At 43.4% G+C, this 16,024-nt stretch overlaps 1 protein-coding gene across 1 annotated transcript in view, besides 2 other annotated features; it reads left to right on the plus strand.

Moving 5' to 3' along the window:
- The window catches only part of SORL1 (sortilin related receptor 1), a 181,450-nt gene that overhangs the window by 102,239 nt on the left and 63,187 nt on the right, over positions 1-16,024 (plus strand). Inside the window, exons 18-23 of the mRNA NM_003105.6 lie at positions 635-766; positions 2,762-2,853; positions 4,039-4,285; positions 4,967-5,105; positions 12,388-12,561; positions 15,605-15,718. Of these exons, the coding sequence (NP_003096.2) occupies positions 635-766; positions 2,762-2,853; positions 4,039-4,285; positions 4,967-5,105; positions 12,388-12,561; positions 15,605-15,718 (898 nt within the window). The remainder of the gene's footprint in view (positions 1-634; positions 767-2,761; positions 2,854-4,038; positions 4,286-4,966; positions 5,106-12,387; positions 12,562-15,604; positions 15,719-16,024) is intronic.
- Positions 15,402-15,451: an enhancer, noted in NCBI's record as "active region_5660". NCBI's record gives its function as "activates an Ori minimal core promoter by ATAC-STARR-seq in GM12878 lymphoblastoid cells {active_cell/tissue: GM12878}" and the evidence as "EXISTENCE:reporter gene assay evidence [ECO:0000049][PMID:35858748]".
- Positions 15,562-15,731: an enhancer, noted in NCBI's record as "active region_5661". NCBI's record gives its function as "activates an Ori minimal core promoter by ATAC-STARR-seq in GM12878 lymphoblastoid cells {active_cell/tissue: GM12878}" and the evidence as "EXISTENCE:reporter gene assay evidence [ECO:0000049][PMID:35858748]".

Raw genomic sequence — 16,024 nt, forward strand, 5'->3', positions numbered from 1 at the left:
GGACAGGCCAGGTGGATAGCCATACGCTCACACCCATGCATTTAAAGGAGAGCTCTTTGATCTTTATTCATTGTCTACTTAATCCTTTTAGAAAAGCAATTCCAACAAATTTTTATCTAGATTCCAACCCAACAGAAATTTCACAGTGCCTGGGTATTTGAGGGGCTTGGGGTGGGGGATGGCGGTGATGCTGAATGGAGCTGTCCAACAATAGCACTTGATGGCTAAGAGCCTCACAGGGAAGAAAGAGTATAAAAGCAGACACAAGAACTGAAATGTAACAGCAGTCTGGTTTCACTTATTTTAAAAGCAAACAGACTCATACAATCTCAGTAATCTCTGACTTTATTATTGCCATACAGCATAATTTAGTAACCAGTGTTCATAATGATAATGCAGAGTAATATATATGATTAAATTCTCTTTATTCTGCTTTAAAAAACAAAAATGTAGTATATTTTAGAAATGCTTTCATGAAAACCTGGCTTCATGTGTCTGGAAAGTTTACTAACGTAAAACATCTCATCCCTTGCCAGTCCTGCCAGTTGAATAAAGGGTTACCCTTCATGGGACTGACTTGGCAGGGGGTCGTTTGAACAGTTCCTAGCATTTATTATTACTTTTCTCTCTTAAGCGCCTCTGTTTGAATGGAAGCACAGGGCAAGAGGTGATCATCAATTCTGGCCTGGAGACAGTAGAAGCTTTGGCTTTTGAACCCCTCAGCCAGCTGCTTTACTGGGTAGATGCAGGCTTCAAAAAGATTGAGGTATGTGTATTTTCGTGCTGTTCTTAATTAAGGGAGCAGGCGGGGCACCTGGGCTTTGAGCCACATTTGACACAGAGGCAAGGGCCAGTGTGTCAGATTACTCAGGAAATTTACTGCGAGTTTCCAGAGAATGGACCAGCTGAGCCTCTGGAGAGGAGAGAAAAGGGGGTAAGTACCTGTGAGTTGATCTTTTGGCTAGCAGAAGCTTAGCTAATAACAATAAATGGTAATATTTTTATTTTATTTATATATGTACTTACTTATTTTATTTATATATTATTTTTGTTTTATTTTACTACTTTTATTAAACATGATGGCAAAAACTACAATCACTTTTGCATCAGCCTAATATCATGGTATTATTATAATGCTATAACAATAATCGTCTAGTATTATTTTATTCGATTAGAGTGATAGCAACAATATCATCATCATCATCATCATTGCCACTGTTATTAATCCCCATTTCTCTGCAACTTAGCTACCTAGTAACCTGTCCCACCTTATATACCCAAGGCAAGGATGATGAGTGACCTCTAAACTGCCAAATCTTTGTCTGGGGGAATGTAGTGTGCTCAGCTCACTGCCTCAGCACCTCTTTATACTGACTCTGCATGGAGAGACGGCATGTGGGTGAAGTGGGAAGTGCAGTAGAAGCAGGGAGATGCAGAGGGCTAAGAGGAGTTGCAAGACGAAAGACACAGACTCGAGAGATAGACCCAGATGTAGGCTTGACTCCACTAGCTCAGCGACATGGGGCAAGGTGCTTATGCTTTCTAAACTTCAGTTGCTTCATGCGTTAGATGGAGATTCATATATTCGCACAACCATTTGACAGGGGTTCTCTGCATGATACATGTGGTTTAGGTTCTGATGATAAAGCAGTGGGCAGGACACACACGTTCTTGTTCCAGTAGAGCTTAGATTTTAGTGGAGGAAGCAAAATAATAAATCAGTTCTGTTGGTGGTACATGCTGCAAAGACTCTGAAGCAGTGCAGTGTGATTGCGCTTTTGGAGAGTGGGGCAACATTAGAATAGGCAGACAGAGCAGGCAACTTGAGGTTGATGTCTTAGCTGAGCCCTGGCTGAGAAGAGGATGATCTTTTGTCCACCTCCTGGGGATGCTGATAGAAGTGAACTGGCATCTACTGAATGCTGCCTCGGTGGTTATGTTATTGCTCTTTCTCTCCTTTCTTTAATTGCGTGTGGTCAGCACTTGGCTAGGGGCTAAAAGAATGCAGGTGATGCACAAGCACCCACCTTTTCACAGGCTGTGGGGCGACCACTGCACAACTCAAATACTGTTGGTGCAAAATGGTGTCAGATGAGCCAAGGTGCAGAGCTACTGATGCTTATTGGTCCAGGTGGGTCAGAAGAGTTAGGAAAGTAGGCAGGCCTGGCAGTGAGGTTTGAAGGAGAGTTATGCCTTGATTAGATTAAGCAGTGGGGCAGGTAGGCCCAGGATGGGATGTGGCAAGAGCAGACAGCAGTGAGTCCGCATCAGGCTTGGAGAAGCAAGAGATGACCAGCCTGGCTGACGGGAAGGAGCAAGAATATGAGTCCCACCTGTGGACTCTTCATTGCAAGGCTGTGACATTGAGAATTTGTTTTATGGGAGTGTGGAGTCATCGATTGCCTTGGAACGTGGAGTGACACGGGATGGTGAAATAAGTAAATGCTCATTTGCTTATTTACTTATTTGAGTAATTTACTTATTGATACTGCTTTGTCCAGATCATCATGCCCTGGAAACTGGGGCTTACATGGTTCTAGCTCCTCTTTCAGACCACTTGAAAATTGTCCCATGAGTCAGAGGAAGGAACAGCGCATTGTGACTAGAAGTTGGGGCAGGTTTCGCAGATGGGTCAGGTCAGGGAAATAGGCAGGCATGGAGGGGGCATGTCTGTAGCAGAAGCTGAGTAGCCATCTTTGGCAATGGGGGTCTTTAAGGAGCTCCGATCCATCTCAGCCTCTTTTCCCCCTGTTTTTGTCAGGTAGCTAATCCAGATGGCGACTTCCGACTCACAATCGTCAATTCCTCTGTGCTTGATCGTCCCAGGGCTCTGGTCCTCGTGCCCCAAGAGGGGTAAGTGTTGCCCCAAAAGGAAATCAGTCTTGCGTCCAATGCTACACTAATAGATTCTCATGGAAACACAGACTGCGGGACAAAAACTCTGTTTCTCATGATGGTGGTTGAAATGGTCTATTAACTGAGAAGTTTGAGACCACAGCTTAGTCATCGTGGTCAGGTAACTCCGTTCGCTTTTTGTTAGCCAGTGTCAGAGTCTCTTTAGGCATCCAGATGTCTTGCATCTGTGGGTTGTTTCTCTAGAAAAGTTGATGTTAAAAGAGAGCTTCTGTAGACATAGACAGGCCTGCTTGGATATTGTGAGAACTTTCTCTTGAGTTTCATGCATGGTACAAACATTTAATTCATTCCATCTTTCCCCTGCCTTCCCAGCATGTGTAGGTTTTCTTACGTACAATCAGTGTGCACTTGGGGAAGGCAAAGGTGCTTTTTATTAACTCATTAACTGAAGGAAACATAATTAAGAGGGAAATTCTGGATTTGACATTCTGGCTTTTCCTCTCTCGTAGCATTTATGATAGAGAATTGGCACAATTTTTTTCAAGGAAAATTCTAAGAGTAATGTATGTACTTGGTTGACAATATTTAGAGAGAACAGCACTTTATGAAAAAAATTTGCATTCTTCCTTTTCATTCTTAACCCTTTACCCTCACACTTCCTAGTGGTAATCATTGTTAATAATGTCTTGTGTATCTTTCATGATTGCTTTTACTTATGTACAAGTATTATCTTTAAAACACACACATATACACACACATGCACGCCAAATAGGATTGTAGTGTAGTTACTATTCTGTACCTTTTTAAACAAACTTAATATGTATTGAAAATAGTTCTGTGTGAGCATATATAGATTTTTAGGTTTCACAGTATTCTATTATATGTACCATAATGTGTCACTTCCTCTGCTGATTAACATTTAGTTTAATATACATACATATACATTTCTTTGTATATTATCTTTGCATAATTTGATTTTATCTATAGATAAATTCTAGTAAAGGAATTTCCAGGTGAAGGAATTTAAGTAGTTTCAGGTGTTGTCATTACATATTGTTATAATAATGCTGAAATAACCAGCCGGATCATTCGAAAGGAGTTTCTGACCTTTTCTGGAGTAGTATTTGAGCTCCCATTTCTCTAGTATTGATGAGGTATGTGTTCTGTCCCCATTTTCGCTAGGGTGATGTTCTGGACAGACTGGGGAGACCTGAAGCCTGGGATTTATCGGAGCAATATGGATGGTTCTGCTGCCTATCACCTGGTGTCTGAGGATGTGAAGTGGCCCAATGGCATCTCTGTGGACGACCAGTGGATTTACTGGACGGATGCCTACCTGGAGTGCATAGAGCGGATCACGTTCAGTGGCCAGCAGCGCTCTGTCATTCTGGACAACCTCCCGCACCCCTATGCCATTGCTGTCTTTAAGGTGAGTCCATTTGTTGCTGCCGGACAGTCTGCTAGAGCGGGTGAGGAGCATATGAGATCAGGAGCCTGCATCCCTGGGCTTTGCAGAGAAGCTGTTTAACTTCTTAAAGGTTGCCTTTTTTCCAAATTTGAGATAACTTATTTTCAGCCTATGGAGGGATGCCAGGCAGAGGCGCCAAGGGTCCAGGCTCCCCTGCTGTTCACATTTCAAAAGGTTAAAAGTGAAGGCTCTTCCCATGAACATTCCCAGTTTGCCCCTCAGTGTCAGTAGCCTCATTTCAGGGTGGTGTCTTCATTTTTTGTGCGCTTTGCTCACTTTATTCTCTGATGACTTCCGGTGAGCTCTGCACCACCTATAGTGCCTTGCAGTTCTTTTTCGACTCTGGAGAGCAACATGGCTCTTCCCAACTCTGGGAAACAGATTTCAAACTGAGGGGGTTGGGTTTGTGTCATAAACTTGAATGCTTATCAGATAGTTTCTTTTGGGCAGTTTCTTCTGTGGGGTTATATGGTGAGGTTTGGATAAAATTGCTGTCCTTTGCATTTAAGTAGAATCTTGATCAGGCTAGTCATTCAGCCAATAAATGTTAGTTGTCTCCTGCCTGGGGGAACTCTTACCCTTAGAGAGAACCAGAATAAAGAACGAAAGAGCTGGACTAATGGGCAAAGGTTTTCTTTTTAGAATGAAATCTACTGGGATGACTGGTCACAGCTCAGCATATTCCGAGCTTCCAAATACAGTGGGTCCCAGATGGAGATTCTGGCAAACCAGCTCACGGGGCTCATGGACATGAAGATTTTCTACAAGGGGAAGAACACTGGTAAGCCAGAGTCTCTTCTTTTGTCTCTGTAGAGTTGATCTCAAGAAAGGGGCTGCGTGTGGCCAATCTCTGCTCAGAGTAGGAGCTGGCAGCCTGCATCTTTGTTGTCACGACAACATGCACATTATTTAATTTCTTCCTAATGACATCTTAATTTCTTTTCTAATGATACACAAACAGCTGGAAGACAGCATGCTTTTGCCTGCCTAGAGTGTTGGTGCTTGGTGGGTAATTACACCCTCCTCCTGCCCTTGGCCCCTGACTGATTGGTGGCGCGGCTTCTGTTGCAGCTGGGAGAGTCCTAACATGTGCTTAATCCCTGTTTGGCATGCTTGCAGGAAGAGACTCTGTGCTGGGTGCTCAGATAGTTGTTGCTTCCTGACAGGGCCTCTTGCTTGTTCTCTGGTTGCCCAGATGACCTATTGCTCATTGACCGTACCTACCTCTGCTGGAATGGCACTGTGTAGTTAGGTGTTGTTTTAATTAACTTTTCCCACCATGAAACCCTAAACCCCATGAAGAAAGAGATGGTCTTTTTTATTCCCCGATAGTTTTACCAGTGTCTAGCACTTTGTAGGTGCTCAATTCATATTTGTTGAAAGAATAAGGGATGAAAAGGGAGGGGAAGAATTGCAGTGGGTGCAGACAGTAGCTGTCTTAGAGATCTACTGGGTGAGGCTTCAAGAACTGCTATGAGGCTTTGACCTGCTAGTCCTGGAGTCTGAGACTATTCAGTGGAAAGCCTTTATCATTTCATGACTGCTCTTTGATTTTGCTTATCTCCCAGCCATACTATTGATTCTAGAGGAGAAAGATCAGAGGATTACCAGGAAGAATAGTCCCTTTAAGAATTTCCCTCTTTATCTCAGCAGGATTAAATGGCATCCTGGGTTTGCTGATTCTCCTTTATTGACAAACTGCTAAGTTTTCTGTTCTTAACTGGAATGTTGATATTGTTTTATGGTTCTTGGCTGACCCTATACTAGGAGAAAATTGACAGGGGAAATAATACTGTTATAGATATCATTGTTATCCTCTTGGGATTGTGAAGATAGCATGAGAACACCCTGGGAAAACTATAAAGTGTCTTACAAATGTAAGACGATATTATTTGTTATGTCTTCACCACTGACCTGTGAGGTAGGGAAGGCTGGTATTATGATCCATGGTTTATAGATTAGGGAATTAAATCTCAGATATGAATTAGCTTTCCCAAAATATCCTCACTAGTTTAGGGGCTGGCCTTTTGTTGCAATTCTGCCGCTAAATGGAGAAGTCACATTCTTTCTTAGAGGAGGCACCTGTTTTAGAATCAGGAGAGTTGAAGGAATCTTGCTTCTCAGCTCCAGTGACTGAAATCTTCAGACCTTTGTTTAATGGAGGACATCCACCCCTACTGATCTGACTTGCTAGCTAGCAGAGTGGATTTTTAGTATTTCTCCAAGTGGATTTTTAGCATTTCTCCATGTTACCACTTAGTCCAGAAGAGTGGGTCTTCATTTTTACAAGTGCTTGTATGCATGTGCTTGTTTGATTTGCACACAGGAGCTTCTGAAACACTGTGTGCAGATGAAGCCAGTGGCTACCCGGTCACAACTTACTTCCCAGTCTTGACTGTCCACTTCATCCCAAGAACTTGGGCACAGCTGACATGCAGTCACACCTGTGACTGAGGAGCAGTGCGGGAGGAGAGAGTTTGTGGTCTCAGCACATGCAAACGTGGTGTCTTGGTGCCAGTCAGACAGGTCTGCAATCCTCACCTTAGGTGTAGTTTCCCTTTCATGCCTCAAAGAGTCATCTTCATTTAAGTTAGCCAGAGTCATTTTGGGGCCCAGAGTGAGGTCTGGATAGATGACAGGCTGGTTTAAAAGGGAGATATGTATTAGCAGGGCATAGTGGCACATGCCTGTAGTCTCAGCTCCTCAGGAGGCGGAGGTGGGAGCATCACCTGAGCTCGGGAGGTTGAGGCTGCAGTTAGCCAAGGTCGTGCTGCTGCACTCCATCCTGGGTGACAGAGTGAGACCCTGTCACCGAAAAAAAAAAAAAAAAAGGCTGGGGGAGATCTGTGTTGGTGAGTAGAACACAGACCTGGACCTGTGCATGGGCGGCTGTGACTGTCCCTTTGGCCATGGCCAGTTGTCGCCTCTCTGCTCCTTTCTGTTTGCCTTTGGGATTTTCTCTTGCTGTCCTTTGGTTGTGAGCAGGATACTTCCAGGAGACCTACTGCCTCCAAACACAGGGCTGGAGAAAGACGTTTTTGTCTTTCTCTGCAGCCCAGTTTGGGTCAAATCAAAGCTTTTGCAGTGGTGTCTGGCTGTCAGCACTGTCTATGAGCACTCCGCACCTCTTGGCCTTGAACTTGTTTGCTCTAACCTGCTTGCTTTTTTTGGACACTGATAGGACACTTGCTTTTTTGGACATTGTATTACAGATCCACGGTGTGTGTTGGATCTAGCACTTGGAGAAATGCTAAAAATCCACTCTGCTAGCTAGCAAGTCAGATCAGTAGGGGTGGATGTCCTCCATCAAGCAAGGGCCTGAATATTTCAGTCACTGGAGCTGAGAAGCAAGATTCCTTCAACTCTCCTTATTTTAAAACAGGTGACTCCTCTAAGAAAGAATGTGACTCCTGTCCATCTTTATTATTTTTGTTGTCTCCTCCTAACACATTCGGGACTTTCTACAGTAGTCTCCTGCTTATTTGCCATTTTGCTTTCTGTGATTTCAGCTACCTGCGGTCAACCACTGTCCAAAAATATATATGGAAGATTCCAGAAATAAACAATGTATAAGATTTAAATTGCTTGCTGTTCTGAATAGTGTGATGAAATCTTGTACTGTCTCCTCCCTGTCCCACCTGGGATGTGAATCCTCCCTTTGTCCAGCGTCTCATGCTGTTGATGCTGCCGGCTCATTAGTCCCTTTAGGAGCCGGCTGGGTTATCAGGGTGTCAAAGTACTGCAGTTCTTGTACGCAAGGAACCCTTATTTTACTTCATGATGACCCTACACCTCAAGAGTAGTGATTCCAGTAATTTGGATATGCCAAAGGGAGGTTGTAAAGTGCTTCCTTTAGGGAAAGGGTGAAAGTTCTAGACTTAATAAGGGAGGAAAAAAAATCTTACACCGAGTTTGCTAAGATCTGCTGTAAGAACGAACCTTCTATCTCTGAAATTGTAAAGAAAGAAAAAGAAATTCATGCACAGTATAGGTTTGGTCCTATCTGCAGTTTCAGGTGTCAGCTAGGGGTCTTGGAATTGGGGGTTTTGGAATAAGAGGGGACTACTATATTAACCAAGTGTTAAATAATAATAATTGATAGTAACTACATGTATTGAGGGGTTGCTGTGTTATAAGTACCACAGTAATGTGCTTTGTGGGCTTGTATAACCTCACTTCGTCTTCCCAAAGACTTCTATATGTACTATCAATATTTCCATTTTATAGGTGAGAATATGAAAGTCTGGTTTAGTAACTTGTGTAGGTCACACTTTTAGTAAGTGGTAAGAATTTGCACTGTGGCCCGTTGACTTCAAAGCCTGAACTTCGATAAAACCACCCGGCTCTGCTCCCTCTGTCATGTGTTGCTAGAATAGCAGTGCCCTGGTAGTATGACAGCAGTTCAGAAGTACTGTTCTAGATTTTGATTGATGATGGTTCATAATAAAAATGTTGTTCAGTTGCAACATTTATCAATTTGAAATATTTGGTCCTTTATAGCTAGCTGGTTTTTATTTTTTATTTGTTTAGTTTTTTGGAGACAGAGTCTCGTTCTGTTACCCCGGCTGGAGTGCAGTGATGTGATCTTGGCTCACTGCAACCTCTGCCTCCTGGGTTCAAGCAATTCTCATGCCTCAGCCTCCTAAGTAGCTGGGACTAAAGGCATGTGCCACCATGCCTGGCTAATTTTTTGTATTTTAGTAGAGATTGGGTTTCACCATGTTGCCCAGGCTGGTCTTGAACTCCTGAGCTCAGGCAATCTGCACGCCCCGGCCTCCCAAAGTGCTAGGATTTACAGGTGTGAGCCACTGTGTCTGGCCACTAGCTGGTTTTTAAATGGTATAACTGGAATTTATTCTTTGTAAAGTGTGTTTTTTCTTTAAAGAGGTTACTTTACAAGATTGTTGATGTATTCAGTTGCTCCTGCGATGGCTCTTGGAGCTTTGGAATTCTTTTGCAGTTTTGGAATTCTCCTTTAGAGCCTGCAGTAAGTATGTGCTTTTAAGTATCTATAATGAGGGCACATATTTATTATTTGAGGTAGATTTGATTTTGATAATTGCCAAGTGTATAGATACTTGAGATGATGACATTTTTGGCTCCTAAAGTATTCCTGGAGGAATTTTCCAAACAGGAAATGTGAAAATGTTCTGAACATGCCCAGTGAAGACATCACGGGGCTATGTGTTTGATCTTCTAAGGGAATGTCTTTGAAGATGATTGTCCACTCTTCACATTGAGATAACGGTTTTCATATTGCCTGGTCCACTCAAGACAATTGTCATCCTGTATAAAGGGTCTGTGGCTGTGGTAGAACTGCCATCATAGGAGTTGGTGAATTACCCTTCCATCTTCTTCCAGCTTCTCTCTGATGCAGCTCTCCCATTTTCCATTCTCTGGCTTCAGACTAGCCTAGACATTCCTGCCCCTGCCTACCTCTTAGGATCAGTGACTTGGTTAGCTTGTTTTGCAGTTTGCCCCTGGTTACTGCCTCAGAGTACAGTTTCATACATTTCTGCCTAGATCAGCCTCCTGAAATATGATACCCCATTTTGAGTTCTCTACTCTTAGCTCTTCTTGCTTGTTTGGATAGGAATATTTGCTCTGCATATGAAAAGGTTAGTGAAATGATTTTACAGACATGATCCCTGTGAAAAAAATCATCCTGTAATAGAGTAGTTTTTTTTATTTGTTCGTTTTGTTTGTTTGTTTGTTTTTGAGACAGGCTCTGGCTCTGTTACCCAGGCTGGAGTGCAGTGGCGCCATCTCAGCTAACTGCAGCCTCTGTCTCCTGGGCTTAAGCAATCTTCCCACTTCAGCCTCTGAAGTGGCTGGGATCACAGATGTGTACCCGGCTAATTTTGCTTATTTTTTTTTTGTGGAGGCGGTCTTCACTATGTTGCTCAGGGTGGTCTCGAACTCCTGGGCTCGAGTGATCCTCCCACCTCGGCCTCCCAAACTGCTGGGATTACAGATGTGAGCCACTGCACCCAGCCGGTAATAGAGTATTTTAAAATAACATCATATTCCATTATTGTTCAGGATCTTGGAACATTGAGTGATATATTGTTCTTTGAATACAAAACACATGTTCCCACATCCTTGTTTGAGTTGTTTCTCATGAGTGGTGGCTCTATGTCAATTCTGCATTCCCTCTTGTAGCCAGTGGCCTGTACCTTTGAACTAAAGGAGCCATCTGTGCCCACTAATGGATCAGAGTGAAGGGATGTCTGGGACTTCTGCTCTAGTCAGCTGGTTAGTCTGCTATGGTAATTAAGCTGTTATGATTGATTATTTACTGAACCTTTTGGACTGTTTCATCATGTGGACTTCCCTTCCTCTGGAGGTGTATGTTTTCTCTCTATTTACTGAATCTTTTGGAATGTTTCATCATATGAACCTCCCTTCCTCTGGATGTGTGTGTTTTCTCTTTGGTAATACCTCTTACTCTTTTCCTTGGCATCATAATAACGTTGTTGCCATAGCATTGTGATTTTTATTTTTATTTGTAATGTAAATTAACCAATGATGTGCCCACACACCCAAAGCTACTGCGTATATTATCCATATCGACACTGATTATCATTCATGAACTTCGTCTAACCTGTAGGCCAGGATAGGCATGGCTTAGATGAATGCTTGGCTGGGTGGCAACAGATGATTTGGATATGGTGCTGAAGTGTGGGAGGGCATCTCTGTCCATGACATAGCACGAATGAAGAATTAGCAATTGAGTTTTATCTAAGTTTTTATGTTCATTTTTCCCATTTTCATGATTAATAATTGCAGTCAAAAGAAAAAACATGATTTCATAGTTTCTGTGACCCCATAGTTGTATCATGTTTCAGATTGTTATAAAATGGTTTATGCATCTTCTTACCTGCCATCCCCGGAACGATGTAGGGGATAGGATGGCACTTTTGCCATCCTCGTTCATCCACAAAGGCTCCTTCTCAAGAGTGCAGTGGTGGATTTTACGAACTCTCTCCGGTGCTGCCTTTAGTAAGCTGAACCAGAGAAAAGATTGGCAGGAGTGGGCTAGATCAGCATGAACTAGTCCTTACCTGAACACATTGCACAGCAGTGGCTGATGAGTACTGTGGTTGGCTCCTCCTTTAGCTCTTGAGGGGCACTCTGGCACAAAGGAATTGAGAAGGGGAGGCCTGGATTTTTGTCCTGGGCCCACCATTAACCAGGTGTATGTTCTAATTAAGGCCTTTGGGGCCCTAAGGAGCAGAAACCCACTCAAGCTAGCTCAAGTGAATGGTTTTATGGAATGAATAAAGGAGCCCAAAGATGAAAGTCTAGGAGAGCCTCATGGGGACTGGAGCTGTTCTTTCTCTTTCCCTCTCATTAGGCCTCTTCTCTCTGTAAGCCTCTTTCTTTTTAAAAAAAAAATTATTCGGAATTTTGAAGGCAATGTTCAACTATATTATAGCCACTAGTGTTGTAATTGAGAAGTCCAAAGACATTCTGGTTCTTTTTTAAATTAAAAAAAAAAATTTTTTTTAAGGGATAGGATCTTGCTATATTGCCCAGGCTGGATTCGAGCTACCAGGCTCAAGTGATCCTCCTGCCTCAGCCTCCTGAGTAGCTGGGGCTACAGGTGCGTGCTGCCATGCCTGGCCTCCTTAAGTCTCTTTTAGTCTCCTGACGGTCTGCAGACTGAGCTTATCTGCATACCCAGAGTTTTGACTTCCACACGGTTTTGGCTTGCCATGTGCCACTTCAACACCCATGCTCTGTGACCCTTTCCCTGGCTCCAGCTCCTTGGTTGCTTTCTTGTCTTTCAGTGACCCAATTACAAATTCCCAGGAGGAACCCTGCTGCCTGGCTTGGCTCTGGGGCAGTCTGATCTGGCTGAAGACAGGATGCAAGTCACTGGTTATACTGAGCAGAAGTTTTCAGCACAGTAGGCGCCCCAAAGCTTGCCACTTGACCCTTGAGAGCTTCTCGCTGTCCTTTCCGTAAGACGAGGAGGTTGCAGTGGGTCTCCTTCTTGTATTCAGTACCTCCCTCATGGTGTGTATTAACCTACCTGCTGCTGTTTGTCTTCCCTCCAGGAAGCAATGCCTGTGTGCCCAGGCCATGCAGCCTGCTGTGCCTGCCCAAGGCCAACAACAGTAGAAGCTGCAGGTGTCCAGAGGATGTGTCCAGCAGTGTGCTTCCATCAGGGGACCTGATGTGTGACTGCCCTCAGGGCTATCAGCTCAAGAACAATACCTGTGTCAAACAAGGTACTTCCCTTTTTCTTTTTTGCCTGTCATCCTCCTTCCTTTGTTTCCTGCTCCCCGCCAGGGGAGGGAGGGATAGCTCTCTGTTTCCTAACCTTTTCGTGTTATTGGAAAAAGTCCAAGGTAAAAATCAAACCTACCAGATACTCATAAGAATACTGGTTTGGGTTCTAAGTCCTGGTAAGGGTCAAAGAGGCCCTTCAGTCCTCACTCAGAACAGGCCTATGCTGTACCTTTCTAAGTAGTAGCTGTGGTTTTTGGTTTCATGTCAGATGGCACAGGCTTTCTTCAGGGTCTCCCTTTTTATTCTTTTGCTTCTTCCTCTCCTCACCCATCCCTCACATCCAGGTTTCTTACCTGCTCCTGTTTTGCATAAGTTGGACCAACCTGATTGGGAAAAATAACCAGTGTGACTCCTTCCGCGTTTACTCTCACCTAACGGTTGTCCATCCTCTCACCGTAGCCTAGCCCAGTGTGTCCTGAACTTTCAGACCAATGTTTGCAAAGCACTTTGAGTCTAGACCTTATGCCATGACCAAGCAGCAAGAGCAGCCTTACACCCACTCCCCCTCTGAATTTGAATATAGAGATTTAACATTTCTTTCCTCCGAAATTTAAAAAGTTTTTCCTTCCTGTGTAATTTTTACTGTCACCACTTCCCCCGCCTCCAGCATCACGTTTCTGTGAGTGAGGTGAACCCCTGCAAGGGCACCTTGCCATGAAGTGCATGGATTGATGGCCAGAATTTCTGCTTTTCCTTATCTGTGATTCTATTTGCCTTTTTTTTTATATATATTTTAAAGAGACAAGAAAGAGACAGGGTCTTGCTGTATTGCCCAGGCTGGCACATTCACGGCTCACTGCAGCTTCAACTCAAACTCCTGGGCTCAAGGGATCCTCCTGTCTCAGCTTCCCATGAAGCTAGGACTACAGGCACGAGCCCAGCTAATTTCTTTTATAGGGACGAGGTCTCACTTTGTTGCCCAGTCTGGTCTTGAACATCTGGGCTCAAGGGATCCTCCCTCCTCTGCCTCCCAAGGAGCTGGGATCACAGGCATGAGCCACTGTGCCTACTCTATTTGCTTTGTAATCCTAACCCTGCTTCTCACAGCGGCCCAAGTCCAAGGCAGTGAAACACACAATACAAGCCTTTTAGTCAATCTTCCTTAAGAAATATAAACAGAAAAAAGATGAGCCTTTCTTTCTTAGAAACAAGAGACTTTCTTTCAGGCTATGGATACAATCTTAAAACTGTTTGGAAAGAAATAGAATCAACACTAAATTCCAAGAGAAGGGGAAGAAAGCTACTCCATATTTCCCATTAGAATGCCTTTGATTATCCAAATATGAGACCAATCATCGCATGTCCTTGATGCAGTTTGCCAAACTATACATTTTTTTTCTGTAAGGAATTTTAATTGCTTGCTTTAAAGTAGTCATGGGGCAGAAAAATTTCTCAGAGTATTGAGAAAATCTTCATAACTCATTTGCTTGATAGATAGAATATATATGGATATATATAACTATGTATATAAAAACATACCTATAGATATATTGAATCTGTATGTTTTAATTCTGTGTAGACACAGTCCATTAAGGAGTTCTGTGTGTAATTAGTATTTTATAATGTTGATGTACTGTATTCACTACCCAATAGACTCAACTGGTATTGTGGTTATCCTTCTTAAAGCATTGTATCTGCTTCTAAATATTTCTTCCAGCCTCCTCCTCTCTTTTGATTTTAACTAAAAGAGGAAAGCAAGAGGCTAGTATGGGACATTTCCTTCCCTGTAGACACGTGTGCTTGGCATTCCTCCTCCCCCTTTACCATCATGTTACTTGTTGTGGGAAGTCCGGGACCCCGAACGGAGGGACCAGCTGAAGCCATGGCAGAAGAACGTGGATTGTGAAGATTTTATGGACATTTATTAGTTCCCCAAATTAATACTTTTATAATTTCTTATGCCTGTCTTTACTGCAGTCTCTGAACATAAATTGTGAAGATTTCACGGACACTTATCACTTCCCCAATCAATACCCTTGTGATTTCCTATGCCTGTCTTTACTTTAATCTCTTAATCCCGTCATCTTCGTAAGCTGAGGAGGATGTATGTCGCCTCAGGACCCTGTGATGATTGCATTAACTGCACAAATTGTAGAGCATGTGTGTTTGAACAATATGAAATCTGGGCACCTTGAAAAAAGAACAGGATAACAGCAATGTTCAGGGAACAAGACAGATAACCTTAAACTCTGACTGCCGGTGAGCCGGGCGGAACAGAGCCACATTTCTCTTCTTTCAAAAGGAAATGGGAGAAATATCGCTGAATTCTTTTTCCCAGCAAGGAACATCCCTGAGAAAGAGAATGCGTCCCTGAGGGTAGGCTTCTAAAATGGCCGCTTCGAGGGGCGGCCATCTTTTATGGTCGAAGCTGTAGGGATGAAATAAACCCCAGTCTCCTGTAGTGCTCCTAGGCTTATTAGGATGAGGAAATTCCTGCCTAATAAATTTTGGTCAGACTGGTTGTCTGCTCTCAAACTCTGTCTCCTGATAAGATGTTATCAGTGACAATGCGTGCCCAAAACTTCATTAGCAATTTTAATTTCGCCCCGTCCTGTGGTCCTGTGATCTTGCCCTGCCTCCATTTGCCTTGTGATATTCTATTACCTTGTGAAGCACATGATCTCTGTGACCCACACCTTATTCGTACACTCCCTCCCCTTTTGAAATCACTAATAAAAACTTGGTGGTTTTACGGCTCAGGGGGCATCACGGAACCTGCCGACATGTGATGTCTCCCCAGACACCCAGCTTTAAAATTTCTCTCTTTTTTTACGCTGTCCCTTTATTTCTCAGACCGGCCGACACTTAGGGAAAATAGAAAAGAACCTATGTGAAATATCGGGGGTGAATTTCACCCGATATCTGGCTGAATTTCCCCCGATAGTTACTAAAGGGAGGGAAACTCAAAAGAGAAAGACCTGTGGTCCAGCAGTAAGAATAATATTGGTTTCATTTCCTCCCCTGCCGCACTCTGATGGGTAGAGAACACCTGTCTTCGCAACCAGTATCGCTGCAGCAACGGGAACTGTATCAACAGCATTTGGTGGTGTGACTTTGACAACGACTGTGGAGACATGAGCGATGAGAGAAACTGCCGTGAGTCTTCTGGATTGGACGTTAAGCACTTACCATTACTCAGAAGCCTGGTTGGCTCTTCCCAGGCTGAGGGCCTAAGGTCTAGGGCGAGGGCCACCCATGATTGGTGATGCCCATCTAAGTTGATGGGGCTTAGATGACAGAGAAAACATATTTCCATACACAGGTAGATATTAGATATATAGGATTAATATTATATACATAATATTTTTTTAACCACCCCAGAAGTACCACTCGTTACAAGAGATTTATAAATAAACGTCACATGGCTGAAACTGAATTGATTTGGCAATCTGGGCTCTAATC

This window comes from Homo sapiens, chromosome 11 (assembly GCF_000001405.40).
Source record: "Homo sapiens chromosome 11, GRCh38.p14 Primary Assembly".
NCBI lineage: Eukaryota > Metazoa > Chordata > Mammalia > Primates > Hominidae > Homo > Homo sapiens.